The 24,248-nt window shown below is 39.0% G+C and overlaps 1 protein-coding gene across 9 annotated transcripts in view, besides 1 other annotated feature; it reads right to left on the reverse strand.

Annotated features, from left to right (window-relative positions):
* The window catches only part of MID1 (midline 1), a 388,374-nt gene that overhangs the window by 62,323 nt on the left and 301,803 nt on the right, over positions 1–24,248 (reverse strand). For all 9 annotated transcript variants that reach the window (NM_033290.4, NM_001098624.2, NM_033289.2 and 6 more), the window contains one exon: positions 15,460–15,555. In NM_033290.4, coding sequence (NP_150632.1) covers positions 15,460–15,555 — 96 coding nt within the window. The remainder of the gene's footprint in view (positions 1–15,459; positions 15,556–24,248) is intronic.
* Positions 1,106–1,975: an enhancer, noted in NCBI's record as "OCT4-NANOG hESC enhancer chrX:10476778-10477647 (GRCh37/hg19 assembly coordinates)". NCBI's record gives its function as "activates a minimal SCP1, AML or CMV promoter by ChIP-STARR-seq in naive H9 embryonic stem cells {active_cell/tissue: H9 hESC(naive)}" and the evidence as "EXISTENCE:reporter gene assay evidence [ECO:0000049][PMID:30033119]".

The raw sequence follows: 24,248 nt of genomic DNA on the forward strand, positions 1-24,248 counted from the left end.
CATTCAGATTAATTGGAGGTTATGCCTGACATATGAAGGAACTGGACAGAAACCATCTTTCTCTGGCAAATCATCCCTTTGGCAGCAATACTTTCAGATAACATGCTAAAAGAAGAAATGTTTCGCACCAAAAACAAAGAAGCAAACACTCTCCTCTTGCAAAACCTATTTATAAAACTGGGAACCACACACATCTTCATTCAGTGCTTATTTTGATTCTACCAGCAAACTAAACCTTCTATGCAGTCCTTGCTTCTCAGCAGCAAGTTTTACTTCTCTCTCCATTTAAAGTATAGGTGACCAAAGTTTCCGGTTTCCAGAGATCTTTGCAACAGTGTTAGTAGCTAAGGAATGAAAGTGAGAGGAGATGAGGTCATTCTTGTTATTCCATGAATGAGGAAGATGCTATCAATGTACAGGGATCATCTATGAAGCAAATCTTAGGGATTTGTTGAGTGCCCACAATGTGCAAAGCACCATGCTAGGACCTGTGGTAGAAACAGAACTTGGCCTGCTAGAAAGAATGACTTCACTAGAGAACAAGCAGCGAACATGCCAAGTGCACACATAATTAACTGCTAAACCATGGGCTACAGAAGTTCTAGAGCTGTGTGGTCCAATATGGCCACCACTAGCCACTTGTGGTTTTGAGCACTTGAAATATGGTTAGTCTGAATTGAGATGTGCTGTGAATATGAAATGCATACATTAATCATTTTTACATTGATTACATGTTGACATGATAACATTTTAAATATATCGGGGTCAAATAAAATGTATTAGTACAATTAATTTTACCTGATTATTTTTACTTAAAAAATGTGATTACTTGAAAATTTTTCAATTACATATGTGGCTCACATTACACAGTACTTTGATTGGATGATGTGACTCTGGAGAGTTTGAGAAATGAGGCAATTACTGTGTGAGTAGCTGAGGAAGGTTTCATGCCAAATATGAAGGAGAGACTGGTCTTTGGAGATCAGAGTAGGCAAGACAGAGTTAGGAAACCCAGGGGTGAGGAAGATGAGAAAAGGCACCAGGGAAGAGAGGCAAAAGAACATTTTTGCAAGACAGAGGAAATTAAAATTCTGTTTCAACAACATGCAGGGTACAGTGGGCATGCATCTTGAATTGGTTATCTGGGAATGGGGAGACAGAAATACCGAAGCCAGTTATATCTTACTGCCCCTTGTGAAAAGCCTTTTGGGGGCCATTTGCAGAGAGCTAGCCATGACTGAGCTCCATAGAGTCTGGCTAAAACAAAACAGCAAATTGAGGAGTTTAACTTGGGAGTGGGGAGTTCTTCCTTGACCCCCACCTTTTTCTAATTGACTCCCTTTGTATCCTGGTCTTAGTGGGCCTTCAGCATTGATCTTTAAAGCTATCCATGCTTACTTGCTTTCCTGGAGTTTTCTTCTGAAATGGTAGTGGGGCTGGTAAAAGTTACAATGGCAGTAGAAGGGCAGGCAGGAAGGACACTGGAGAGCTGTACAATAGGGGCTTTGACAAAAGGACAGTGAAGAGCAAAGCTAATCTGATCTGGAAGAGAAAAGGAAAGATCACAGCATTTAGATGTCTTTTGGTTGCTAATTTTGAAGTTGTGGTGAGTTTGTGAGTGTGTGTGTGTGTTTGGGAATCATGAGAGACTGATATTGAAAATGTTTTCCTGTTAAGTCATTTTCAGACCTAGGTTGATTAGCCATCTTACATGTGTGGAATTATTATTTATAAGTGTTTTCCCAAGCCTGATTCAAAGTGACTATCTAACTATTTTTTTCTTTTGCAAACCAGAAAAGATAGAGAAGGTATCCTAGAGAATAAAAGGAAAGGTACAGGTTTATAATAAGGGGGAAGGAAAGACCCACCTCGATCGATCTCTATTCAGGGCTCAGCAACACTCCTGATGGACAGCTCTCTCATTTTTGACTTCCCTTTGTCAACTCCATCCTCTTAGCCCTACCTGGGTGGCAGAGCCCTCAGGCTGGGAGGGAGCTCCTTGTGTGCACTAGCATTACTGATCCTCCAGGGATTTGTGGCTACTGAGGTTTGCTGTCATAAAAACACAGTGCTGTGTACAGTCTTCTCAAGAAGGGTCCTTTCTGCCCTTCAAGGTGTGAGCTTATCGGACATGCTGATCTATGCAAATGAGCTAGTGCTACAAGGAGGACAGAAGGATGATGTAGTTGGCCTCTAGAGGTGTTCCATTCACTCATCAATAGTCAAGTGCTGCATGCTAAACGCAGCATACTAGGAAGACTGTCCTATTTACCCAGGAGTCCAACCAACTAGGAGAAGGAATAGACACAGACTTACAGACCATCAAGATTTTTGTTCAAGAACTGCATCTATGTCAACAATTCACTATGTAGTTTCCCTTAAGCTTTTAAGTTCAAATTATGATCTCATTATTCTATTCATACATCTAATAAATTTTATGAAACCAAGAATAATCACTCTCGGGAGTCCTTGAATCAATGTTTGATTAACTCAAGTTGAATAGACTCAACTCCATTAAACAATCAATTCTGTCTATACATTAGCTGATTAAGTTCCTACACACATATTTTTAAATTGCGGTAAAATTTACATGCAAGGAAATGCATAGATCTTAAGGGACAGTTTAATGGATTTTGATAACCGACAGCTCAATCAAGACATAAAACATTTCTATCACCCTAGAAAGTACCCTCGAGCCGCTCTTCAGGTCAATCCTCACCCCTATGAGGAATCACTGTTCAGATTACTCCTGTAACACTTTAAACTGCATTTATCAATTTAACACATTTGATTTACTTTATAAGCACTTCAAATGCTAACAGGATAAAATTAAAATCCTAACACGTTATACCTTCCCAAGTCCTTAAGTAGCTCTTATAAATCTAATAAACTAAACTTAAAAAATATGCTGAAACCCAGGCCGGGCGTGGTGGCTCACGCCTGTAATCCCAGCACTTTGGGAGGCCAAGGTGGGCAGATCACGAGGTCAGGAGATCGAGACCATCCTGGCCAACTTGGCGAAATCCCGGTCTCTACTAAAAATACAAAAACTAGCTGGGCATGGTGGTGCACACTTGTAATCCCAGCTACTTGGGAGGCTGAGACAGGAGAATTGCTTGAACCCAGGAGGCAGAGGTTGCAGTGAGCCGAGATCACGCCACCGCACTCCAGCCTGGCAACAGAGCAAGACTCTGTCTCAAAAAAAAAAAAAAAAAAAAAAAAGAAAATGCTGAAACCTAAGGTTTTTTGAACATTGCAATATTGCTTTGAAACCTAAACTATCTTACAGATCCAACTTAAAATAACAGTTCTAAAAGAAATTACATGTTAGGCTGGGCGTGGTCGCTCATGCCTGTAATCCCAGCACTTTGGGAGGCCAAGGCGGGCAGATCACTTGAGGTCAGGAGTTCGTGACCAGGCTGGCCAACATGGTGAAACCCCATCTCTACTAAAGATACAAAAATTAGCTGGGCATGGTGGTGGGTGCCTGTGATCCCAGCCACTCAGGAGGCTGAGACAGGAGAATCACTTGAACCCCAGGAGGTAGAGGTTGCAGTGAGCCGAGATGACACCAGTGCACTCCAGCCTGGGTGACAGAGCAAGACTCCATCTCAAAAAAAAAAAAAAAAATTACGTGTTTCAAATTAGCATTTCAAAGCAAATCTGTCAAATTTCTGTAATATGTCATATTATCTTAAATGCTATGAACTATTAACATACAAACAAATATTTCAGTCCCAAGTTGTAATATATATATATTTTTAAGTTCAGGGTCTCTGTCTCTGTCACTCAGGCTGGAGTCCAGTGGTACAATCATAGATCACTGTAATCTCCAACTTCTTCTGGGTTCTAGTGATCCTCCTGCTTCAGACTCCTGAGTAGCTAGGACTACAGGCAAGAACCTCCACTCACAGTTGGTTAATTAATTAATTATTTAGTAGAGACAGGGTCTTGCTATGTTGCCCAGGTTGGTTCTAAACTCTTGGCCTCAAACAATCCTCCCACCTTGGCCTCCCAAAGTGCTGAGATTACAGGTGTGAGTCACTGCACCCAGTCATAACCCAAAATATTGATTTTATGCTACAGGTTGAGTATCCCTTATCCTAAATGCTTAGAACCAGAAGTGTTTTGGATTTTGGAATATTTGCACATACATAATGAGATATCTTGGGGATAGGACCCAAGTCTGACCACTAAATTCACTTACATTCCACATACACCTTATACACATAAGCTTGAAGGTAATTTTATGCAATATTTTCAATAATTTTGTGCATGAAACAAAGTTTGTGTTAAGTACTTGTGTGTGGAATTTTCCTCTTCTCGCGTCATGTCAGTGCTGAAAAAGTTTTGGATTTTAGAGCATTTCGGATTTTGGATTTTCAAATTAGGGTGGCTCAGCCAGTATTATTTAGTTCTTCATCTTTATACATGAATCTCAAACTTCCTGGGAAGGAGGAAAAAAAGGAATTTACTTATTTACTAAAGGAAACAAATTTATCATCTCAAAGAAGTTGAGGTTAGAGGGTCAATGGTTAATAATAAAAGATTTCAGAACGTTCATAAGAACTGAAGACTCACTGATTGTACTGGCACTGCAGATGTACACTTGCTGAGCCTTTGTTATGGTGGGTTTAACAGGGTTTCCAATTACCTATCTGATAAGATGGTTCTTGTAATGAGAATTCCCCTGGGAATCTAACTTTCTAATCACCTGGTTTGGGTTCAGTAACAACTCCAGTTACTTATTACTTGGTTAAATTCAACCTATTTCTTTACTGGCTGATTCTTGTTATATCTGGCTTCAGGCCACGTATCTGTGGTTATTTGAATGATGTTTATGTCAAAAGACTGTTGGGATAATTAAATCAGGAAGTGACAGTAAGAGCTGGTCATGGTCATAACTGCTTGTAGTGCATATCTACATAAGTCCTATCACTTTTTCTTTCTTTACACTACAGTCTATGTGTTGCTGTGAAACTGGAACAGATCTATGCAATAATGCTCCCCTTCCAACACCTGCAAAGATGGACAAGGCACCACCTTCCCAATCCTATGGAAATTGACAGAAGGCTTCCTTGAATGAACTTATGACATCTCAATACCAAGCTTGCCTTGTCAGAGAATTAGACCACTATATAGTTTTCACGACTTTACATATATGAACTTGATGTTATATCTAGGGAAAATACTTTTAAAAGCATAGTAAAAGCTCTATCATAAATTCCTAGGCCAAGAAGTTACCTCACTTGGTTGTAAAAATCTTTGTGTTGCTCCTCACTGAGAGCCTTGTACATTCCATGGTAGCCTCGGGCATTTTAAATAGCTGAATTTAAAATTTCATATTTCTATTTCAAACAAAAATAACCAGTACTACAATTGTCTTCTTGTTAACGGACATTTTATATGCATGACTCAATTATTTTGCTGTGGAATTTCAAAATTAGAACAAAGCTCTTCATTTTTTCCTACAACATTTAATTTAGCAAATTAAAAATAGAAGTCAACCGAATCAGGTAAAAAATGATATGTCTGGCTTCTTTCATAATCTGTAATTATTTTATACACAGAGATAATTTCAACTTGATTGTCATTGGAAGACAATTTTATGTTCATTTATTGAGAAAAATAATTTAAACTAGATATTAGACCCAGAAGTAAAAGGTTGGTTCAGTAACAAAATGGTGGATTGATTGTTAGGATTATTCTTGTTTCTGAATGTCATGAATGGGAGCAATAAGTGAACCAAAGCTTTTACTTGAGAGTTACCTTCTCACCTGCAATCATTCCATTCCCCTCTGACTCTTTCACCTGAAACCATCCAGCTAAGACCATCTCATATAAAAGTTGAGTTAGAAATAACAATGGCCATTTTATTTTATTTTACTTTATTTGAGACAGAGTCTGGCTCTATTGCCCAGTCTGGAGTGCAATGGCGTGATCTCAGCTCACTGCAACCTCTGCCTCCCAGGTTCAAGCAATTCTCCTGCCTCAGCCTCTCGAGCAGCTGGGATTACAGGCGCCTGCCACCATACCCAGCTAATTTTTGTATTTTAAATAGAGATGGGGTTTTACCATGTTGGCCGGGCTGGTCTCGAACTCCTGACCTCAGGTGATCCACCCACTTTGGCCTCCCAAAGTGCTGGGATTACAGGCGTGAGCCACTGTGCCTGGCCAACAATGGCTATTTTAAAAAATGTATCACTACCTGTTCCTATTATTCTTTATATCATGCCAGAAACATCTCTGCTGCTCTAGTCAATCACGCAAGTAAATATTTCCAGGTAAAGAAGGTTGTGTGTGGAATACTGTAATGGAGACAGGATAAGGAATTCTTGTATTGTGTGGAGGGAGGGAGCACAATAAGATATATCAGAAAAAAGCACACTTTCTCTCTAACTTTCTAATGCTCAGCCTTTGGGCCTCCAATTAAGGCCTATTGCTTCACATTTAAGTATTAACCTTGGAAATCTGCACTACCAAATTCAAACATTAGAGGGTTTGTCTTCAGAGGCACGTACAAGTGTTCATACTCCAATCTGAGCCACTAGGTAGGATTCTGTATATGATGCAATAGGTCATACCACCCAAACTAGAAAGATTTGCAGACGATGAAAGGTTTGGATAATGTTTTATATAAAGTTTCAAAACTGAAACTTGGGAATGTCATTCTAAAAGTAATACCAGCTTACTAAGCCTTATATTCATTTATTCATAAGATTAATCTCATTCCAAAATACTCAAAGATTTTTGCTGATATCTTCTCATTACTCCTTATGAATATGCCCAAGAAAGAAACAGGATCCAATGCCTGTTATGAATCAAATTTTTCTAAGTCAAGGGCACTGAATCCAAAGGGAGACATTCAAGTATGTGTTAGATACTTTAATAATTAAATTTAACCTCTACCAAGAAAAACTACATTTGCTTCATGAGTTGTCAATTTTAGTAAACTTGGTAGAGTAAACTGTTTCAACTGTCTTACTATTGCATATGAATAGACATTATTCAAATGCAATAGTAAAAACAAATCTTCTCCAGAGATGATAAATTTCTGTGCAGACCAACAGTTCTTTTCTCCTTTGTCATGGGAATCCTAAGACGTGAACTTGGGAAATCAACCATTATTATAGTGGCTCGTCATAATCCAGTTTCTGAAAGCCACCATATTTGCACTATCACATTATCATAATTCTAGAGCCTATTACATGGAGAGCCAGAGCTGACTGTGGGTTGTATGATGTGGTTTAATGAGGCCCAGAATCTGACTCTAATTATACCTTGAAAGCATTCTCACAGGGGGTCAGATCGGGTGGGAATCTGACCCTCATCTGCAAGTGAAAATGGATTATAACTTTGGACATTCATGTCGGCCCCCAGCAGGATATACTTCATCCAAGATCAGACACACGTTCACAAGACACAAATAGCTCGTTTGGTGTTTGCATGCTGGTCTTCATCCAATGACTCCGGATGAAGCCATTGCCAAGTTTTCTACGGAGAGAGAATGCTTTGGCATTACAAAACTGCACAACAAAATTAAACAAATGGTTCATCTTTCTTTTTAACCCAGTGATTTTTCATTATTTCAAAGTTTACAAATGAATGCTTTTAGGGCTTGGTGAATTACTGGAAAAGTCTTCTACAGACTCCCATCTGTTTTGCCAAGTGATTTTCTACAATTTCTTACAAGGTACATATCACCCAAGTAACACCTCACTCTCATCCTTTTCAATTTACAAAACTCATCATCTGAGCAGAAATCTAATTAAACAGCCTTAATTCCTCCACAAGAACCTTGTCACTTTACATGACAACTAGCACTGGAGAAACTCAGAGAAAGCCGTATGAGAGCAAACTTTCCATTAAAATAAAACAACAACAAAGATAGATTAAAAACTTAGTGAGAAAAATAATGGCAAAAAGAATTTTAAGAAGTGATTACAAACAAGGCAAGATAAACCAAAGGGGCCAATGCTGGAACTTTGAAGTGATGTTGGATTAGAAAATGCCCTTCTAGGATGACCTTGAGCAAGAATGGTAAGGACTGCTGAGCCTTTATCCTCTTGAAACCATTATGGCAATTGGCCACCCTTTCCCAGTTGTTCTTGGCCATCATCTTTAGAGTCACTGGCACCTATCATTTCCAAAACGAACATCTATTAAGTGTCAAGGTGTTGTATTTGCTGTAAAAGAACTTGATTATTGGAATGTGCAGAAAATTTGGTACATATCAGTGATTCCAAGTGTTTGCTTAGCTAATAAACTGTGTCTTCTGATTTTTCAAAGAAAATGGAAAGAGAAATGTGATGAAGAGATACAGTCCTTATCTGACCTAGAAAAGTTAAGTTCTACAGGTGACCCAAATTTTGATCATTTCTCATAAGCTTGTCTTTCACTACATATATAATTAACTCCAAACTTGTCTAGTGTAACTACAAACTCATCCATTCTACCTTATTTCTCTCCTGAAGAAAACAAAATAGAGTGGTTGAAAACCCATTAGTTTTTACAATCCTAGACAAACATTTCTTAGGAGTCTACCTGAAGTTGCTCTTTTTTTTTTTTTTTTTTTTTTTTGAGACGGAGTCTCGCTCTGTCCCCCAGGCTGGAGTGCAGCAGTGTGATCTCAGCTCACTGCAAGCTCTGCCTCCCGGGTTCACGCCATTCTCCTGCCTCAGCCTCCCGAGTAGCTGGGACTACAGGCGCCCGCCACCATGCCCGGCTAATTTTTTGTATTTTTAGTAGAGACAGGGTTTCACCGTGTTAGCCAGGATGGTCTCGATCTCCTGACCTCGTGATCCACCCACCTGGGCCTCCCAAAGTGCTGGGATTACAGGCGTGAGCCACCGCACCTGGCCTGAAGTTGCTCTTTCAATGTCTCTGCCTCCTGAGTCCCAAACTGTCTTGGCCTTCATACTCTGCTCTTGTGTGTGTGTGTGTGTGTGTGTGTGTGTGTGTGTGTGTGTGTGTGTGTGCGCGCGCGCACGCGTGTGTTTTAAGAGACAGGGTCTCACTCTGTCACCCAGGCTGGAGAGCAGTTGCACTCCATGGGTCACTGTAGCCTCGACCTCCCAGGCTCAAGCAATCCTCCAGTCTTGGCCTCCTTTGTTACTGGGATTACAGGCGCACACCACCACGCCTGTCTAGTTTTTTTATTTTTTGTAGAGACGAGGTCTCACTGTATTGCCCAGGCTGTTATTGAATCCTTGGGCTCAAGTAATCCTCCTGCCTTGGCCGCCCAAAGTATGCTGGGATTACAGGCATGAGCCACAGCATGCCATTCTCTGTTATCCACCGTTTTAAAAATGTTTGGCACTTACAATCAAAAAGCCATTCATTTGCTTACCCTCATTTAAAAAACAAGTTATGAAAACAATGTGGCAGGGGTGGGGAGAGTTGGGTGGCTGAAGGGGAACCTTCAAACTGTTTTCCATTCTGAAGAAAAGCAGAGGTAAATCCCTGGGAAGAGATGTGGACTTATAAGGATGTGGCATTTCCTCATGGGTCGTGGGAAGGAATTCATTGATTTAATTTACAACAATTAGGAGGTGCCTCTGTGCTGTGAGTTTTTTTTAGCTCCAGCTGGCATGGGAATTATTTTCCCGGGGAATGCTCATACCCAAATACAAGGACACCTTCAGGAAGAGGAAAAGGAAGAAGTACCATCTAGGAACCAAGGATGTGGACCAGGAAATTCTTTTCCACTGCACTGATTTAAAAGAATAGCATGCTGGTGCCTAACAAACTCCATGGCCTTTTTGGAGTTTCCTAGTGCTGTGAAGGTTTCCCTTGGACATGAGATTGTTTTGCATGACAATATCCATATTATTTTCTCAATAACCAAAAATGTCATTTCCTGAAAAGAGTTGGAAATGCCAGTTGTCACTGTGAAACTCACACAGGTCTATGTGTTCCTTGAACCCTCACTAAACCTTCAAAACCAAAGTTCAAATTCAGATGCAACACGAAAGCCTTTCCAGCTCTCAACTCTCCCAAACTAGTTCCTACAGATCCTTCCTTCTTCCATGCTTTCCATTTCTCCAGAATGAACTACTTGCTTTGTGTACATACATTCCTCGTCTTTCTATCCCCATGCCTTTATTTGCCTGGCAAGCAGTGCTGCTTCCATAAACTCAAATGTTACCTACCCTTGAAGGCAGGCTCAGATCTTGCGCTGCTTCCCCAGTCCCCAGCTAGAAATAATTTCTTGTTTCTCTGAAAGTTTGAAGTAGATAATCCACACCTTCTTCATGGTAATTATGGCTTTCTACTTTATTTTGTGTTATAAGTGCTCTTCTGTCTTAGTGAAGATAGTAAACTTCCTGTGGGCAGGGTCCTTTGGCACCTAACACAGTGCAACACACACACAGTGGGTACTCCAACCGCACTACCAAAATGAACAAACTAGCAAGACACTGTAACAAATTAAAGTAACTGTCCACAGGCAAAAATGTACATCCCCTCCCAGAAATATTTGTTTAGCAAACACTGCTCCTAGACCAACAGTCTCTAGAACAGAAAGTCATGTTAAGCAAAATTATCCAAAACATGGAAAAAAGAGAAAGAGAAGACTGTGAGCCCTTCCAAAGTCCCACGAGAGCATATTCCATGAAGTCAGCCTAAGTCAGGGTCATCTGACTCTCCAGACTGGGATGTAACAGAGTCTGACTTTCTATTTACTAGTGGTTAGGGCTTAGACTCTGCGAAGTTAGATGTTAACTTAGAGAAACCCAGTAATATGCAACTTATTTTGTCCAAATGTTTCAGGTTTATTGCCCTGTAGGTCACTAACCAGTTTTGTATCCAAATTAGCTATGCTAGTCTGGCATTCTTTTCCCCCTACTACCCCCTTCCCCACATTTATATGTATCCGTTTCTGGCATCCTCCTTGGAAGCAGCTTTATCATCTTGCTGGTTCCTTCATTAAGAAGTTAAAAAAATCTTTGATGTGGACTAATTCATTCATTATAGGAGAATTGGGTGTTCAACTTTTGAAAATTATACTTTCAGAATACTAATAATTAGGAATAAAAACAAACGTAAAAATAAGTACTGTAAGTATCATTATTTTTGTACTCATAATTTTCTTTAATTTTTATCTAGAATAAATTTCCCAAATACCAAATTTACTCACCCATAAACATGTGCTTCCATTCCCAAGGATTTATACAAAAACAACAGAGAAAAGAATGAATATTCTTTATTCCTTGTAAATGCAAGTCCACTACAATCAATTCAGTAATAGCTTTATTTGAAAAGCCTGTATTGCAACTAAAATCATATCTGATCTATTAAAATAAAACTAAAATCTCCCTGTAAATTTCTTCAATTTATCTATCATTTGAAATTACTGAACATCTTAGAATGTAATTTTACATCATGTTAGGATGAATAGCGTCTTGTAAATTCAAGCCATAATAATATTGCATTAGAAGCAATGCATTTGTTCTGAAATCACAACAGGTCATAATGGAAACCAGACATTAATGCTTTAAGGAGTAACTAGCTGAAATTGAATGACATAATCACCCAATCCATAAAGCATTTATAAGATTTACCATAAAGCTCAGGTAATTTTTTTTTTAACTGAAGAGAAATAATTCTTTCTTACTATCCTAAACATCAAATGCCATCACATCATAAAAATAAAATATGGCACACAGATTATTCCATTTTGTTCATCCATTTATTCATATAATACATATTAACTTTACCCTATAATAATGAAAACATTATGCTTGTTCACTATTATTTCCAATGTTGTTTAATCAACAAGGCTCAACATGTTCCCTGGCAAGAGGCTTGCCAAAAGAGAATCCAGTCTAAGCAGAGGGTTCAAAAGGTCTGGATTCTGCAACACACTGCTGCCTTCACACTCTCAACTTCATCTCAACATGATGAAACACTGATTCTACCCTGACAATCATGTAGCTTTTAAAGCAAGAGGGTCTACTAAGTGAACCAATAAGCTCACTGGACAATCCTAATCTGCTCTCTCACCTATGTTTTACTCTGATTCCTCCCTTTCTTTCCTTTTGTATGCCTTTCCCTCTTCCACCTATCATAACCTCCATCAGCACCTCAAATGATGAACAGCTGGAGTAGATGGCTTAGGTAGGAGATGAGAACATCCCTAATTTCTGTCTCCCTGGATATTATCCTTGGAAAACACAACAAATTTGGAGTTGGAAAAAGTTGCTAACTCATGTGTTTCTCTTAGTAACCAGTTTTACATTTCTGATCACAAGGGGAGCACTTGTAAGTAAAAGCACAGACTTTACAAACACAAAGTATTTTAAGCCTTCCACCAAAGCACCAGTATTTGCATAGTAGACATGCTTTTACACTGATAGGATCTTTCTGAAAGCAATCTTTGCTAATTTCTGCTATGCTGAGGAATGTATCACTGACAAACATCATTGTGTTGCATAAATAAGCTGACACCTCAATACTTAGGGTACTGAAAAATAATAGTTGTGAAATCTATAAGAACTGGCTCAAGTCCTGACTCTTCCACAAAGCTTCAGAAAAATTGTATTCGCATTTTTTTCTCTTTTAATCCCCCCTTCTCAAACCATACTCCATCTAATCTAAGATACCAGCAACTGTCTCATCTATATTTTGTGTGCCAGTAGGAACAAACAAATGTTGCCCATTAAACTGTCTCACCATTCATTTAAGTTGCAGCTCAATTTCAGCAATATTAGTCTTCAAAAAAATGCTAATCTTAGAATCCATAAATGCAATATTCTACTAGCTGAGCACCTGATTGGCTACTCTACTGTTCTTTAAATATGTTGTTATATGTGTGTACACTGTTCTCTAACATATTGTAATCTTTATTATTATTTGCTACATTGTGCATCTACTGACAGTTATAGGCACATAGGAGGCTATAAACTTATAATTACTGCGTAGACGATCAAAGGGACTTGAAGGAATTCTTATTGCAAAAATGGAGTTACTGTCAAAATTTTTAAATGCCTGCTCAAAATAATTTGCTTCTCCAACTTTAGATATTTTAGGGGAGCTGAACTTGCAGGCATTCAAATAGTGTTCAAAATTTGCCATTTGGAGAGTCATCATGCAAATTCATCTAAAACAAATTCCCTGAGCTCCTACTGTGTGAAAATCATTGCATCAGAGTCTGTGAGATACAAAGACGAATTAGATTTGATTCCCATCCTCTAAGACCTCACATTCTGGTTGGAAAAATGGAACTGGTACATGAAAGAATGATAAAGCCATGAGAAGATTATTACTATTCTTGCATTGCTATAAAGAAATACCTGATACTGGGTAATTTACAAAGAAAAGGGGTTTAATTGGTTCACGGGTGCTGCAGGGCTACACAGGAAGCATGGCACCAGGCATGTGCTCGGCTTCTGATGAGGCCTCAGGAAGCTTTTACACATGGTAGAAGGCAAAGCCAGAACTGGCACGTCACATGGCGAAATTAGGAGCAAGAGAAAGAGTGTGTATGGGAGGGGGGCGGGCGGTGGGGGAGGAGTGTCATACACTTTTAAACAACCAGATCTTGTGAGAACTCACTCATTATCATGGAATCAGCACCAAGCCATGAGGGATCTGCCCCCATGACCCAAACACCTCCCACCAAGCCCCACCTCCAGCATTGGGGATTACAATTCGACATGAGATTGGGGCGGGGACATCTCTCCTTTCTCTGAATCACATACACGGTATCATAAAATGTTACGTGATTCAGAGAAAGGAGCGATGACTCTGGTCCAGGGAACCAGAGAAACGTTCACAACTGAAGTGCCCCTTGACTTAGGACTTGGAGGATACACAAGAAGCATTCTGACAAATAGACATGGGTTAGAGGAATGGGCCTACCAGTCAGAGGGAACTGCTTGGTTAAGGGCCAGAAGGCTTAAAAGTGTAATGAATGATAATTGTTTAGTTTCAGTTCATGGGGTGGGGTGGTAAAAAAGACAGTTTGGGAGAAGATGGAAGAGGAATTTGAAAATCACATAAAGGAAGTGGCATCTATTTTTTCCTTATTCAGTGTAGTCATTGCAGGTTCTGCTGTTGTTGCAATTGTGGTTTATTTCATGGAAACATATCTGACAACTAAGATGCATTAATATACACCTGCAGTGCATTAAACTGTGTCCGCAAAAAGGTATGTTCAAGTCCTAACCCTTGGTACCTGTAAATGGGACCTTATTTGAAAACAGAATCTTTGTTTTTTCTTTTTTGAGACAAGGTCTCACTCTGTCGCCTAGGCTGGAGTGCAGTGGTGCAATCTCAGCTCACTGCAGCCTCGATTTCCCAGGCTTGGGTGATCCTCCCACCTCAGCCTCCCAAGTAACTGGGACCACAGGTGTGTGCTCCCACGCCTGGCTAATTTTTTGTATTTTTTAATAGAGATGGGTTTTTGCCATGTTGCCCAGGCTGGTCTCCTGAGCTCAAGCGATCCTCCTGCCTTAGCCTCCCAAAGTGCTGGGATTACAGGGTGTGAGCCACCATGCCTGGCCTGAAAATAGAGTCTTCGCAGATGTAATCAAGTTAAAGTGAGGTAAGGCTGGAGTAGGGTGGGCTCTTTATAACAATAAGGAAATTTGGACACATATTCAGAGACACACCAGGAGAATGTGATAACGGAGGAAGGGTTTAGAGCGCTGTAGCTGAAAGCCAAGGAACTCCAAGAATTGCCTGCAACTACCAGAAAATGGGAAGAGGCAAGGAAGGATCCTCCCCTAGAACCTTTGTAGGGAGCATGGCCCTGCCAAAATCTTGATTTCAGACTTCTAGTCTCCAAAACTGAGAGAATAAATTAGTCTTGTTTCATACTTTCCCAGTTTGTGGTAATTTGTTATGGTAGCCATAGTACACTAATACAATACCTTTTTTTTGAGACGGAGTCTCCCTCTGTTGCCCAGACTGGAGTGCAGTGGTGCGATCTCAGCTCACTGCAAGCTCCGCCTCCCGGGTTCATGCCATTCTCCTGCCTCCGCCTCTGGAGTAGCTGGGACTACAGGTGCATGCCACCACGCCCAGCTAATTTTTTGTATTTTTAGTAGAGACGGGGTTTCACTGTGTTAGCCAGGATGGTCTCGATCTCCTGACCTCGTGATCTGCCTGCCTCGGCCTCCCAAAGTGCTGGGGTTACAGGCGTGAGCCACCACGCCCGGCCTACAATACCTTTTTTGACTGTTCTTTGTAAGGGCAATTAAAATCTCCAACATTAGGACTGCTATGTAATGCTAGATCAGGAAGAGCTATAATGGGAATGGGAAGCAGCCCTGGATGGGAAAGACTCTCTGAAGTTCTAATTCCTTTTAATTTCCTCCATCTTTTATTTTGGCTTTTGCAAAATATTTAATTTTAAGAAAGATTCTTGTTTTAAAATTATAAAGCATGAGGATATCAAAACCTTGATCTGGCAGTTTTCATATGAAACATACCATACAGAAATACAGAGATACTCACTTCAACATGTTGACAGGTTTGGATGAGTTTAGCCAAAAGGGTCTCCAGTTCTGTGTTCCTCTTAATAAGGTTGGTGAGGTTACTCTCTAAGTTTTGCTGTTCAAAAAAAAAAAAAAAAGAGGAAAAATATTATTCTGCATACTTTTATACTTCAGATACACAAAATTACTCATTCTCAGGAAAAACTGATACATTTTTCAGAAACCTTAGTGAAATCGACATAATTTCAAGTATTTATAGATTTAAACTGGATTTTCAAAAGTTGCATTTAAAAGAACCTTTTAGACACGCTCAGACTTTATTCTTTTTGTTCCTGCTTCTTGCACTAACTCAGGGATACTTAACAGAATAATTAGTTATAGGTTATCTCTAGGTCACGACCTAGGAAGAAAGGAGGTAATTGGATTTCTATCCCTTTACTTGAATCAGAGCTGGCAATAACATAAGGAATATATTCCCACATCAAATCAACTACCATTGGATTTTTCAGATTTATCCTTTTATGGGCAGGCTGAGGCTAATCCCTTGGAGGAAGGTTTGAATTGTTTAGCTCTTGCTGACAATAAGGTCATTTATAGACATTTATGATAAGTCCTCATCACACACACATTTGGTCAGTTGTAGTGGAGTTGACTCTGTATCCACTGGGTTCCACATACCTGGATTCAACCAACTGCAGATCAAAAATATTTGGAAAAAAATGGATGACTGCATCTGTACTGAACATGTACAGACTTTTTTCTCCTCATTATTCCCTAAACCATAGAATATAACTACTATTTACATAGTATTTACATTGTAATAAGTAATATAAGTTATCTAGAGAGAATTTAAGGTATGCAGGAGGATGTGATTAGGTTATATGCAAATAACAGGCCATTTTATATCAGGGACTTGAGCATCCATGATTTTAGTATCTATGAGAGACCCTGAAATTAATCCTTTATGGATACCAACAAACAATTGTACATTTTATTGTTCATGCTTCTATTCTTTGTCCATCAATGCCAGATCAAATTTCTTTGAACACTGTATTTACCACTCATTATCCTGCATAAGACTCTAGAATTATTCCCTATTCCTTTAGAGCATCAAACTTAAAGTTCTCTGGAATGACTATTTAATCCTATTTTCAAACACAATAGCTCTCTGTTCTGGGTAAGACTCACTAAGATTTCTCTGTTCCTTCTCATTCACATGCTCTTGATTGCCAGGGGTGTCCAATCTTTTGGCTTCCCTGGGCCATGCTGGAAGAAGAACTGTCTTGGGCCACACATAAAATAACTAACACTAATGACAGCTGATGAGCTAAAAAAAAAAATCACAAAACAATCTCATAATGTTTTAAGAAAGTTTATGAATTTGTGTTGGGCTGCATTCAAAGCGCTTCTGGGCTGCAGGTGGCCTTGCAGGCCACGTGTTGGACAAGCTTGATTTACACCATTCATTCATTTACTTATGTGTTCCTACCATTCATTCATTTACTTATGTGTTCATACAACAAGTACTTATTAAGCTTCTACAATATGCCAGACTCTGAAAGAGACAGTGGGGAAATCAAATAAAAATATTAATATCTATTCCCTGTCCACAAGGAAATGGATGACTGTACAAACTGGGAGAAAGATGCTGCAAACAAGAGAAGGGAAAGAGTTGATGGCTGCTGGTTAAAGGTTTCCAAGAGGGCCAAGTCTTGCAGCTGAGGCTTGAAGGATGTCCAGGGGTTTTTTGTTGCACAACAGTGGAAACTTCTTGGAAAGAAAGAAGTGAGCATGTGGAAGAATCTTCCATGGGCAGGGAATAGAACAATGTCGTATGCCAACATCAGAGAGGTTGAGAGGGCAAAAGATTAGGGAAACTGTGTTTTAGCATATAGACAGTTCCACAAGTATGGCAAAGATACGGAACAACAGGAAATTTCATGGAAAAGAAAACAGACCTCAAATTTATAATGCCATCCAAGAAAGAGGATTTAGAAAGAGTTTGAGGGATTTTGAAAACTAACAAGTTCATAAAGGTGTTAATTTCATTATGCTGTAAAATTTATTTATGAAAATTTTAGCTCATTCTACTTCCCTAAATTTTTTATTTAGAAAAGTATATTAAGGAAAAGAACCACTTTCATCTAAGGCTTAAAATGCATATGTCAAAAGCAGAACTTTCTGGTTATTTTTAAAACAAGTTAAACTTATTAATCTGGTGTTTATCCTATTGACTGATTTTAAAATTTTTTAATGAATGCATTTTCATTTCTAGTAGGTTCTTTATCACATCTCCCTTTTCTTATTGAATTTCTCTCTGTTCCTATTACAAAAACACGATTCTCTTCTCCATAATCTCAAAACAACTAAACTTACTTATTCTTAAGCTCTTTTGAGAAAAGGCAATTCTGTATTTCCCTGTGCTTGTTGACTATTTCTCAAGGATCTGATTTTATCTTTGTCTTGTAATTTTTGTCTGACAGCTCATACGATGTAAACTTTGTTCCCTGTGCTGTGATTTGGGGATTGACATAGCCCAGCCAGATAAGAAGCATATTCTGAGGTTAGGGCGTGAGGTTCTTTTCCCAAAGAAGACGCTCCCACAAGGCACTCGTGTGCAACAGAGGCACAGATCCTAGTTTGACTCAGTGCCTCTGCTTCCTTCCATGAGAGTTCTGTGTCTGGCTTCAATTCCAGAGAAGATGTCAGGTTCCCTTTGAGTCCAGTCTATGCATGGGGGTCTTGGCCTCCAGGTGTACAAGGCTCTTGCCACATGTGATGTTCACTTCCCTATGTGTCCACTGAAGTCACCATTGCCCCATGTCATCTCCACTTCTTGGGAGTAGCCCAGTGTCAGTCTTCTCTCACCACTCTACACTTTCTTTCATTTCCGGTCCTTGGAGGCTTTCCACATATGTTTATGCTTGGTTATGTATTCACTAAAATACATTTTAAAATATTTTATCTGTAATTCTCATGTGTTCAAACTTCAGAGGAAGGCTTTGTGCACATTTCATCTGGACTGGAAAACCAACAAGAAACCTTCAATTCTGTCTTGGAATCACTCAAAACATTTCAAATATGACAATTTTAAAGGGGAAGAATAACTTTTTCACTTAAAGAATGGGATACAAGAGGCTGAAGAGTCAGAGAATGAACTAGACACAGTGATTTATGTACAACTTGATCTTATGCTTGCATCAAAGAAAAACTTGCTTTTAACAACAACAACAACAACAACAAAAGCCAAAGTTTTTTTTTTTTATTGTTTGGATTAAATGAATCGCAACTGCTAATCACTTTATGGTCAGAGACTAGAGGATGATTTTGAAGCATCCCATTCTTCAATGTCCTTGATATAGACATAACCATTATAACGTATATTTGTCAACTTTTTTGGTATGTTAATACTAGGGGATACTTTTCTTTTTGGCTGACCCTTCACAGCAGGAAATTTCTAGGGAAATACATCATCTAACTGTTTACAGTTCAATTGTCATAAGTATGACTTTTCTAAAGTTAGTCAGCAAAAGAGGGCCAAAGAAATGCAATCCAACACATTGAGATTTTACAAACATCTGCTTGCTTCCCCCTCCCTTTATTAAGTATACATCATGCATCAAATCTGTTTTTAATCAACTAATACATAGACTAAAGCCTGTGGTTTAAACACATTGACCTATCCAGATCCTTTGGGGTTATTCAAATTTAAATAGTACAAGTGTTACTGAAGTCTGCAAAGAATTACCGAGTCAGTTAGAAGCATAATAAAGGGAAATTAAGCTGGGAGAGAGACTTGTTTCCAAGTGGTACCAAAGGGGCTGACAACACCTTTGAAGGGAACCTGGGTAATGGGAAGATAACAAAATCCAGTCCTTAATGAGCCATGCACCCATAAGCTTCCACTACAGGGACTTCTCTGAAGATTTTCTGGAAATTAACTCTATCACTAACATCCTGTGTGGTAGTGGTCAGCAGTCTCCATAATCTCTTGATTTTGATTGTGACTTGTGCAAAACAGAGATCATACTTTTCCATATAAAAGTCATGGGATTAAGTAGATATCAGTTTCTATACTGCCCTATGGATATCTAAAAAAATTCTACAGAGCACAAGAAAAATTGGTTTTAGTTTCCTGTTCTCACCTTGAAAACATCAATATATTGACATCTCCTTACTCAAGGCAAGTTTTGTAGAAATCCAAGGAGTCAGTGACCACATATGAAGAGGGAGGAGACCGGGACTACCATCCCAGCTGGACTCTCTTCGGCAAATGACTGGATGTGTCTTGGGCTCAGTTTTCCCATCCATAATGTATGGATAATGATAAATCTACCTATCTATACTATTGTTAAGATCAAATGAGAAAATGAACACATTCACCAGAGAACTACATGAATGTCTGTTGAAATTATGAATTAGAAGATGGAACATTTAGTTTGGACACAGTTCCAGACACTAGAAGGGCCCAACCCTGTGCCTCTGGGAGGCACCATTCTCCAGCTTGCTCATGGCTTTTTCCTGCAAGCACCTGTGCCTTTTCACCCCAGGGCCTTACCTGGCTTCAGGCAAGGCAGGTGCTGGGGAGAGTAAGAAGAAGCTGATGTTCCTAGGAGCAGCCCTCAAGTGGCAATTACTGGCAATTGGTGGATATGCAGCCCAGCTTTTTCACCTCCTGGGTGGAACCACTCTGAGCCTCTGTCTACAAAATCTCCCACAGGGCGCAATTGGGAGGCAGCACATGGGTCCACAGCAACAACCTGCTCATTAACCCTCTTTCCTCTTCAATCTCTTCCCTGTTTGCATCCCCTCTCCCTCCAGGTGCTTCCTGGATCACCTCCCAATTCAAATTCTGAGTCAGAGTCTGCTTCTGGGAGAACTCATCTACGATCATCTCCATAGACCACCTAACCCATTTTTGCGTATGCCTTTCTGTGAGGAAGAGCCAAATCAGAAAATATTTTATTGCTTTAGAAAGACATTTGCAAATACAAGAGGTTTTCTCTCTTTCCCCATCTTTCCTCTTTCTGCTTTTCCTAGAGGTCACATATCCTCCAAATTCCAGGCTGTAGATCAGCAGTATCAATAGAAACCTAATGTGAGCCACAAATGTGAGTCACATTTCAAATTTTTCTAGTAGTCACATTAAAAAAAATAGAACCAAGAAAAGTTAATTTTAATAAAATTGTCATTTCCACCTGCAATCAATATTTGAAAACTGATGAGATATTTTATATTTTGTTCTTTCTTTTTACTAAGTCTTTGGAATCTGATATGTTTTACACTTATGACACATCTCAACTCAAACCAGCCCCATTTCAAACACTTGGGAGCTACATCTGGCTGGTGGCTACCTCACTGGTCTAGAACAGGGGGTGGCAAACTTGCTATAAAAGATCGTGTAGTAAATATTTCAGGCTTTATTGGCCATATGTTCTTGGACACAATGACTCAATTCTGCTGCTGTTTTAGCATGAAAGCAGCCATAGATAACATGTAAACGAGTGGATAGGACTGTGTTCAATGAAACTTTATTTACCAAAACAAGTGGTGAGTGAGATTTGACCCACAACTGTTGTTTGCCACGCCCCCAGCCTAGAAGGTAAAACTCAAAATGATAATATTGTCTGGGCCACTGATAAACATCTGCTTCTGTTAAACACTAACATTTGTCCCAAACTTTTTGTGTAAGTCTGAAATAGATGCCACTCAATGAACCTCTAGGAAGAATTCTTTCTGTACAAGATGCTAAGAGCACTTTCACTTATGGGCAGAAAGCTTAGCTTGACAGAACCCACAATAATCTGAAGAAAATTAAACAGCATTTTGACTCGTAGATATTCTAATTTAAGGAGCATAATGGTTAAGTACACAGAACCTGGTGCCAGTCTGCCTGGTTTGAAGTCCTAGCTCTGAGACCTTCAACAAGTTCTTAACCTCTGTGCCTCAGTTTCCTCATGGGGCTGTCAAGATGATTAGAGGAGGAGATACATGGAAGCCCTAGGAAGAGTACCTGGCTCACGATGTGTTGTATCGGTGCTTGTTAAATAAAATAAAAAACTTGTTTTTCAAGTTTCGAGTTTAGACTGATTTTTAAAAAAAGCTTAATTTGTAACACTTATACCACAACCAAATTAAAAGCATGCCCATACAGTTAATAAAATATTTAAACCACCACCAAATTAAAAGCATGCCCACACATTTCATAAATGATTTGTTCTGTAGATTTTCAATTTAGTAGTACATAGCTACAAGAATATATTTCCCCCTAAGATTACATTTTCCAAAAACACTGAATCCTATTTGCTCAGCTTTCTCATGATGTGATTATTGTCAGAATTCCCATCTGGACTGCGGGTCCCTGTTTTAGACTAAGTGTACATATTTCTAAAATGTTGTGCAATGTCCTAAATCTCAATGAATGCTAATGCTACTATTTGTTGTCATCTCGTCCATGAAGCCCTTCTCATCTGTTAGTTTGAATGGGCAACTCCCTTTCCTTTCGTGGTCAGTATTACTCATACCTCTTTTCCTCTACTTTCCCCACTCCTGTGCTGTGCTCCTGCCATTGTGAACAAGCTGTTTTATGGATCCAGGCTTGTTTCTGGGTCTGAGCATGGGCGCAGTCTCTTCCCTTTGCCTGGAATGCATGTGTGTAGCAGAAAATTCTACCAGCAAAAAGAGAGTATAATAAAGCCACAGGATGTATTGAGTACTTGCTGTATACCCATCATTGCTTAGTCCCTTCCCACCGTACACCCTTAAATATGCAATGATATTTCCAATTAGCATGGAAAACTGAATATTCACCGGACAACCCTTCTGAAATCCAATGTAGTAAATCAACTGATTAGTTAATTTAACAACTAGTGTAGATAGTTAAGACAATGTCTTCTCTCAGCTTTGCTAAACAACAGAAGTCTTCCATGCTTTCAGGCTTTTCTCATTGGTACCGTTGAGTCTGACCCCAAGAAGAGGGCCTTGAGAGTTTAGAAGAATTTTTGAGGAATGTTATATAACACTGTCCAGAGCACAGGATTCCTGTGAAGGCAAATATAACATTATCAAACAAATTTTTCCAAACCGGGATTTATAAAAATAGAGAGATGCTATAGCAATTATCACTAACACATCAACTTCAAGTTCCATCTAAACCCAAAGTCAAGTTGCTCCCAGCCTTAATTCATTACCTTTTCCCCAAGTGATTTTTTCATAGTGCTCTTATTCTGTGAGGTTTACGACTTGGTGGCATTCAATACTACCCTCCCACCACTACCACCAAAGAAAAGAAATACAAATAATTCAAAATGGTCCTTATAAAAGGCAAGGATACCTGTGGGCAGATTTAGTTTCTTAATATTAAGCCAAGGATTGGGTATAGGTCAAATTTGTGGAAGGCAAAGTTATAAAACATGTGTTGCTTAAAGAATGAGGCTTCCTTACATACTTTATGCAAAAAGGGTGATTAATTTTTCTTATAATTTTTATTTTTAATGCACACATTTTGGATGCATCTTCACAGAGCCACAGTCAACCTCCTTCATGTTAGGTAGTTTTTAGTAAGGCTTATTTGAGCTGATAATTGAACAATTCATGTTGGGACAGCTGATTTTACACCAATCTCAATATGAGCCTTTAGGCATGGATAGGGACACCAGCAGAGAATAGTAAATCCAACTTAACAGATGAGCTTTGTACTTCTACATACAGTGATACCCAATCAAATAGCAAGGGAAGCAGACAAATGCCCCTAATTTTAGCCTTTGGAGACCTGAACCTAAGAGTCAGGTTGCAGGGAATTAATGACTTGTCATTGAGCACTACTATTAAAATGTATGCTTGAAACAGGAGATTTCAGTAATTCCTTTTGGGTTTGCCCAGGACTTAAAGAATGCTTGCTCTTATTCCGAAGTCAATACTTCAGAATGTCTTTAAAGTACAATATTAGGTCTGGATACCTTTCAAGGCAAACACAGATCTGGCTTGTTTCATTCCATAATATTCAGAGTGACATTCAGCAACTGTATTCGGAGCCCTGGCACCCAACACCACCACTCCAGCGTGATCAGGATATGGACACGTCAAGTGCCACGACCCATATATTTTCTTCTAAGAAACTTTAATCACAATAGTTAATATGAAAACACACCCATATTAACACATGCCACTTGTATAAAAGCATAAATTCTTTATATGTAACTAAATTTTAAAGATGTTTTAATTGCACTGCAGGAGGCTGAGACTATCTTCAGGTTTGACTCGACAGACCGCAAATACATGTAATTTAGGTTGTTTTAATTTTTTAATGCATTTTTTTCATTGGTTATAATAGCTACCATTTCCAAATGCCCTGGCAAGACAGGCCGCCGAGGGAACTTCAAAAACCTAATAAAATACAATCTGCATATAAATTTAAGTCTAGTATTCCATGGACTACAATTTAAGTCATTTTGATATGTGATACAGTGTTTACCTTGTCAGGTTTTATTTGAAATTTCTATATTAACACCACAGAATCTGTTCCATATATTTATAAATTCCATCATTAGGAGTTCAGTGTTTATTTTTCTAACCTGGTAGTCAATAACATACAGAGAACAACTTTTAAATACTGTGTATGGTCTAGAAGAGCTTTTATTTTAATGGAGATAAATAGGTATCTTAGTATAGTTCTATTCATTTAGTTATAATTTTAGCAGATCCAATGACGACTAGTTATTTCCAGGTATTAGAGATGTGAATGGCCTTTTTTATTCACTCCTCCTCCCCAGCCCCATTTCTGCCTATAATAAGAGAGGTGAGCAAATG

The sequence above is a fragment of the Homo sapiens genome, chromosome X, assembly GCF_000001405.40.
Source record: "Homo sapiens chromosome X, GRCh38.p14 Primary Assembly".
Classification (NCBI taxonomy): domain Eukaryota; kingdom Metazoa; phylum Chordata; class Mammalia; order Primates; family Hominidae; genus Homo; species Homo sapiens.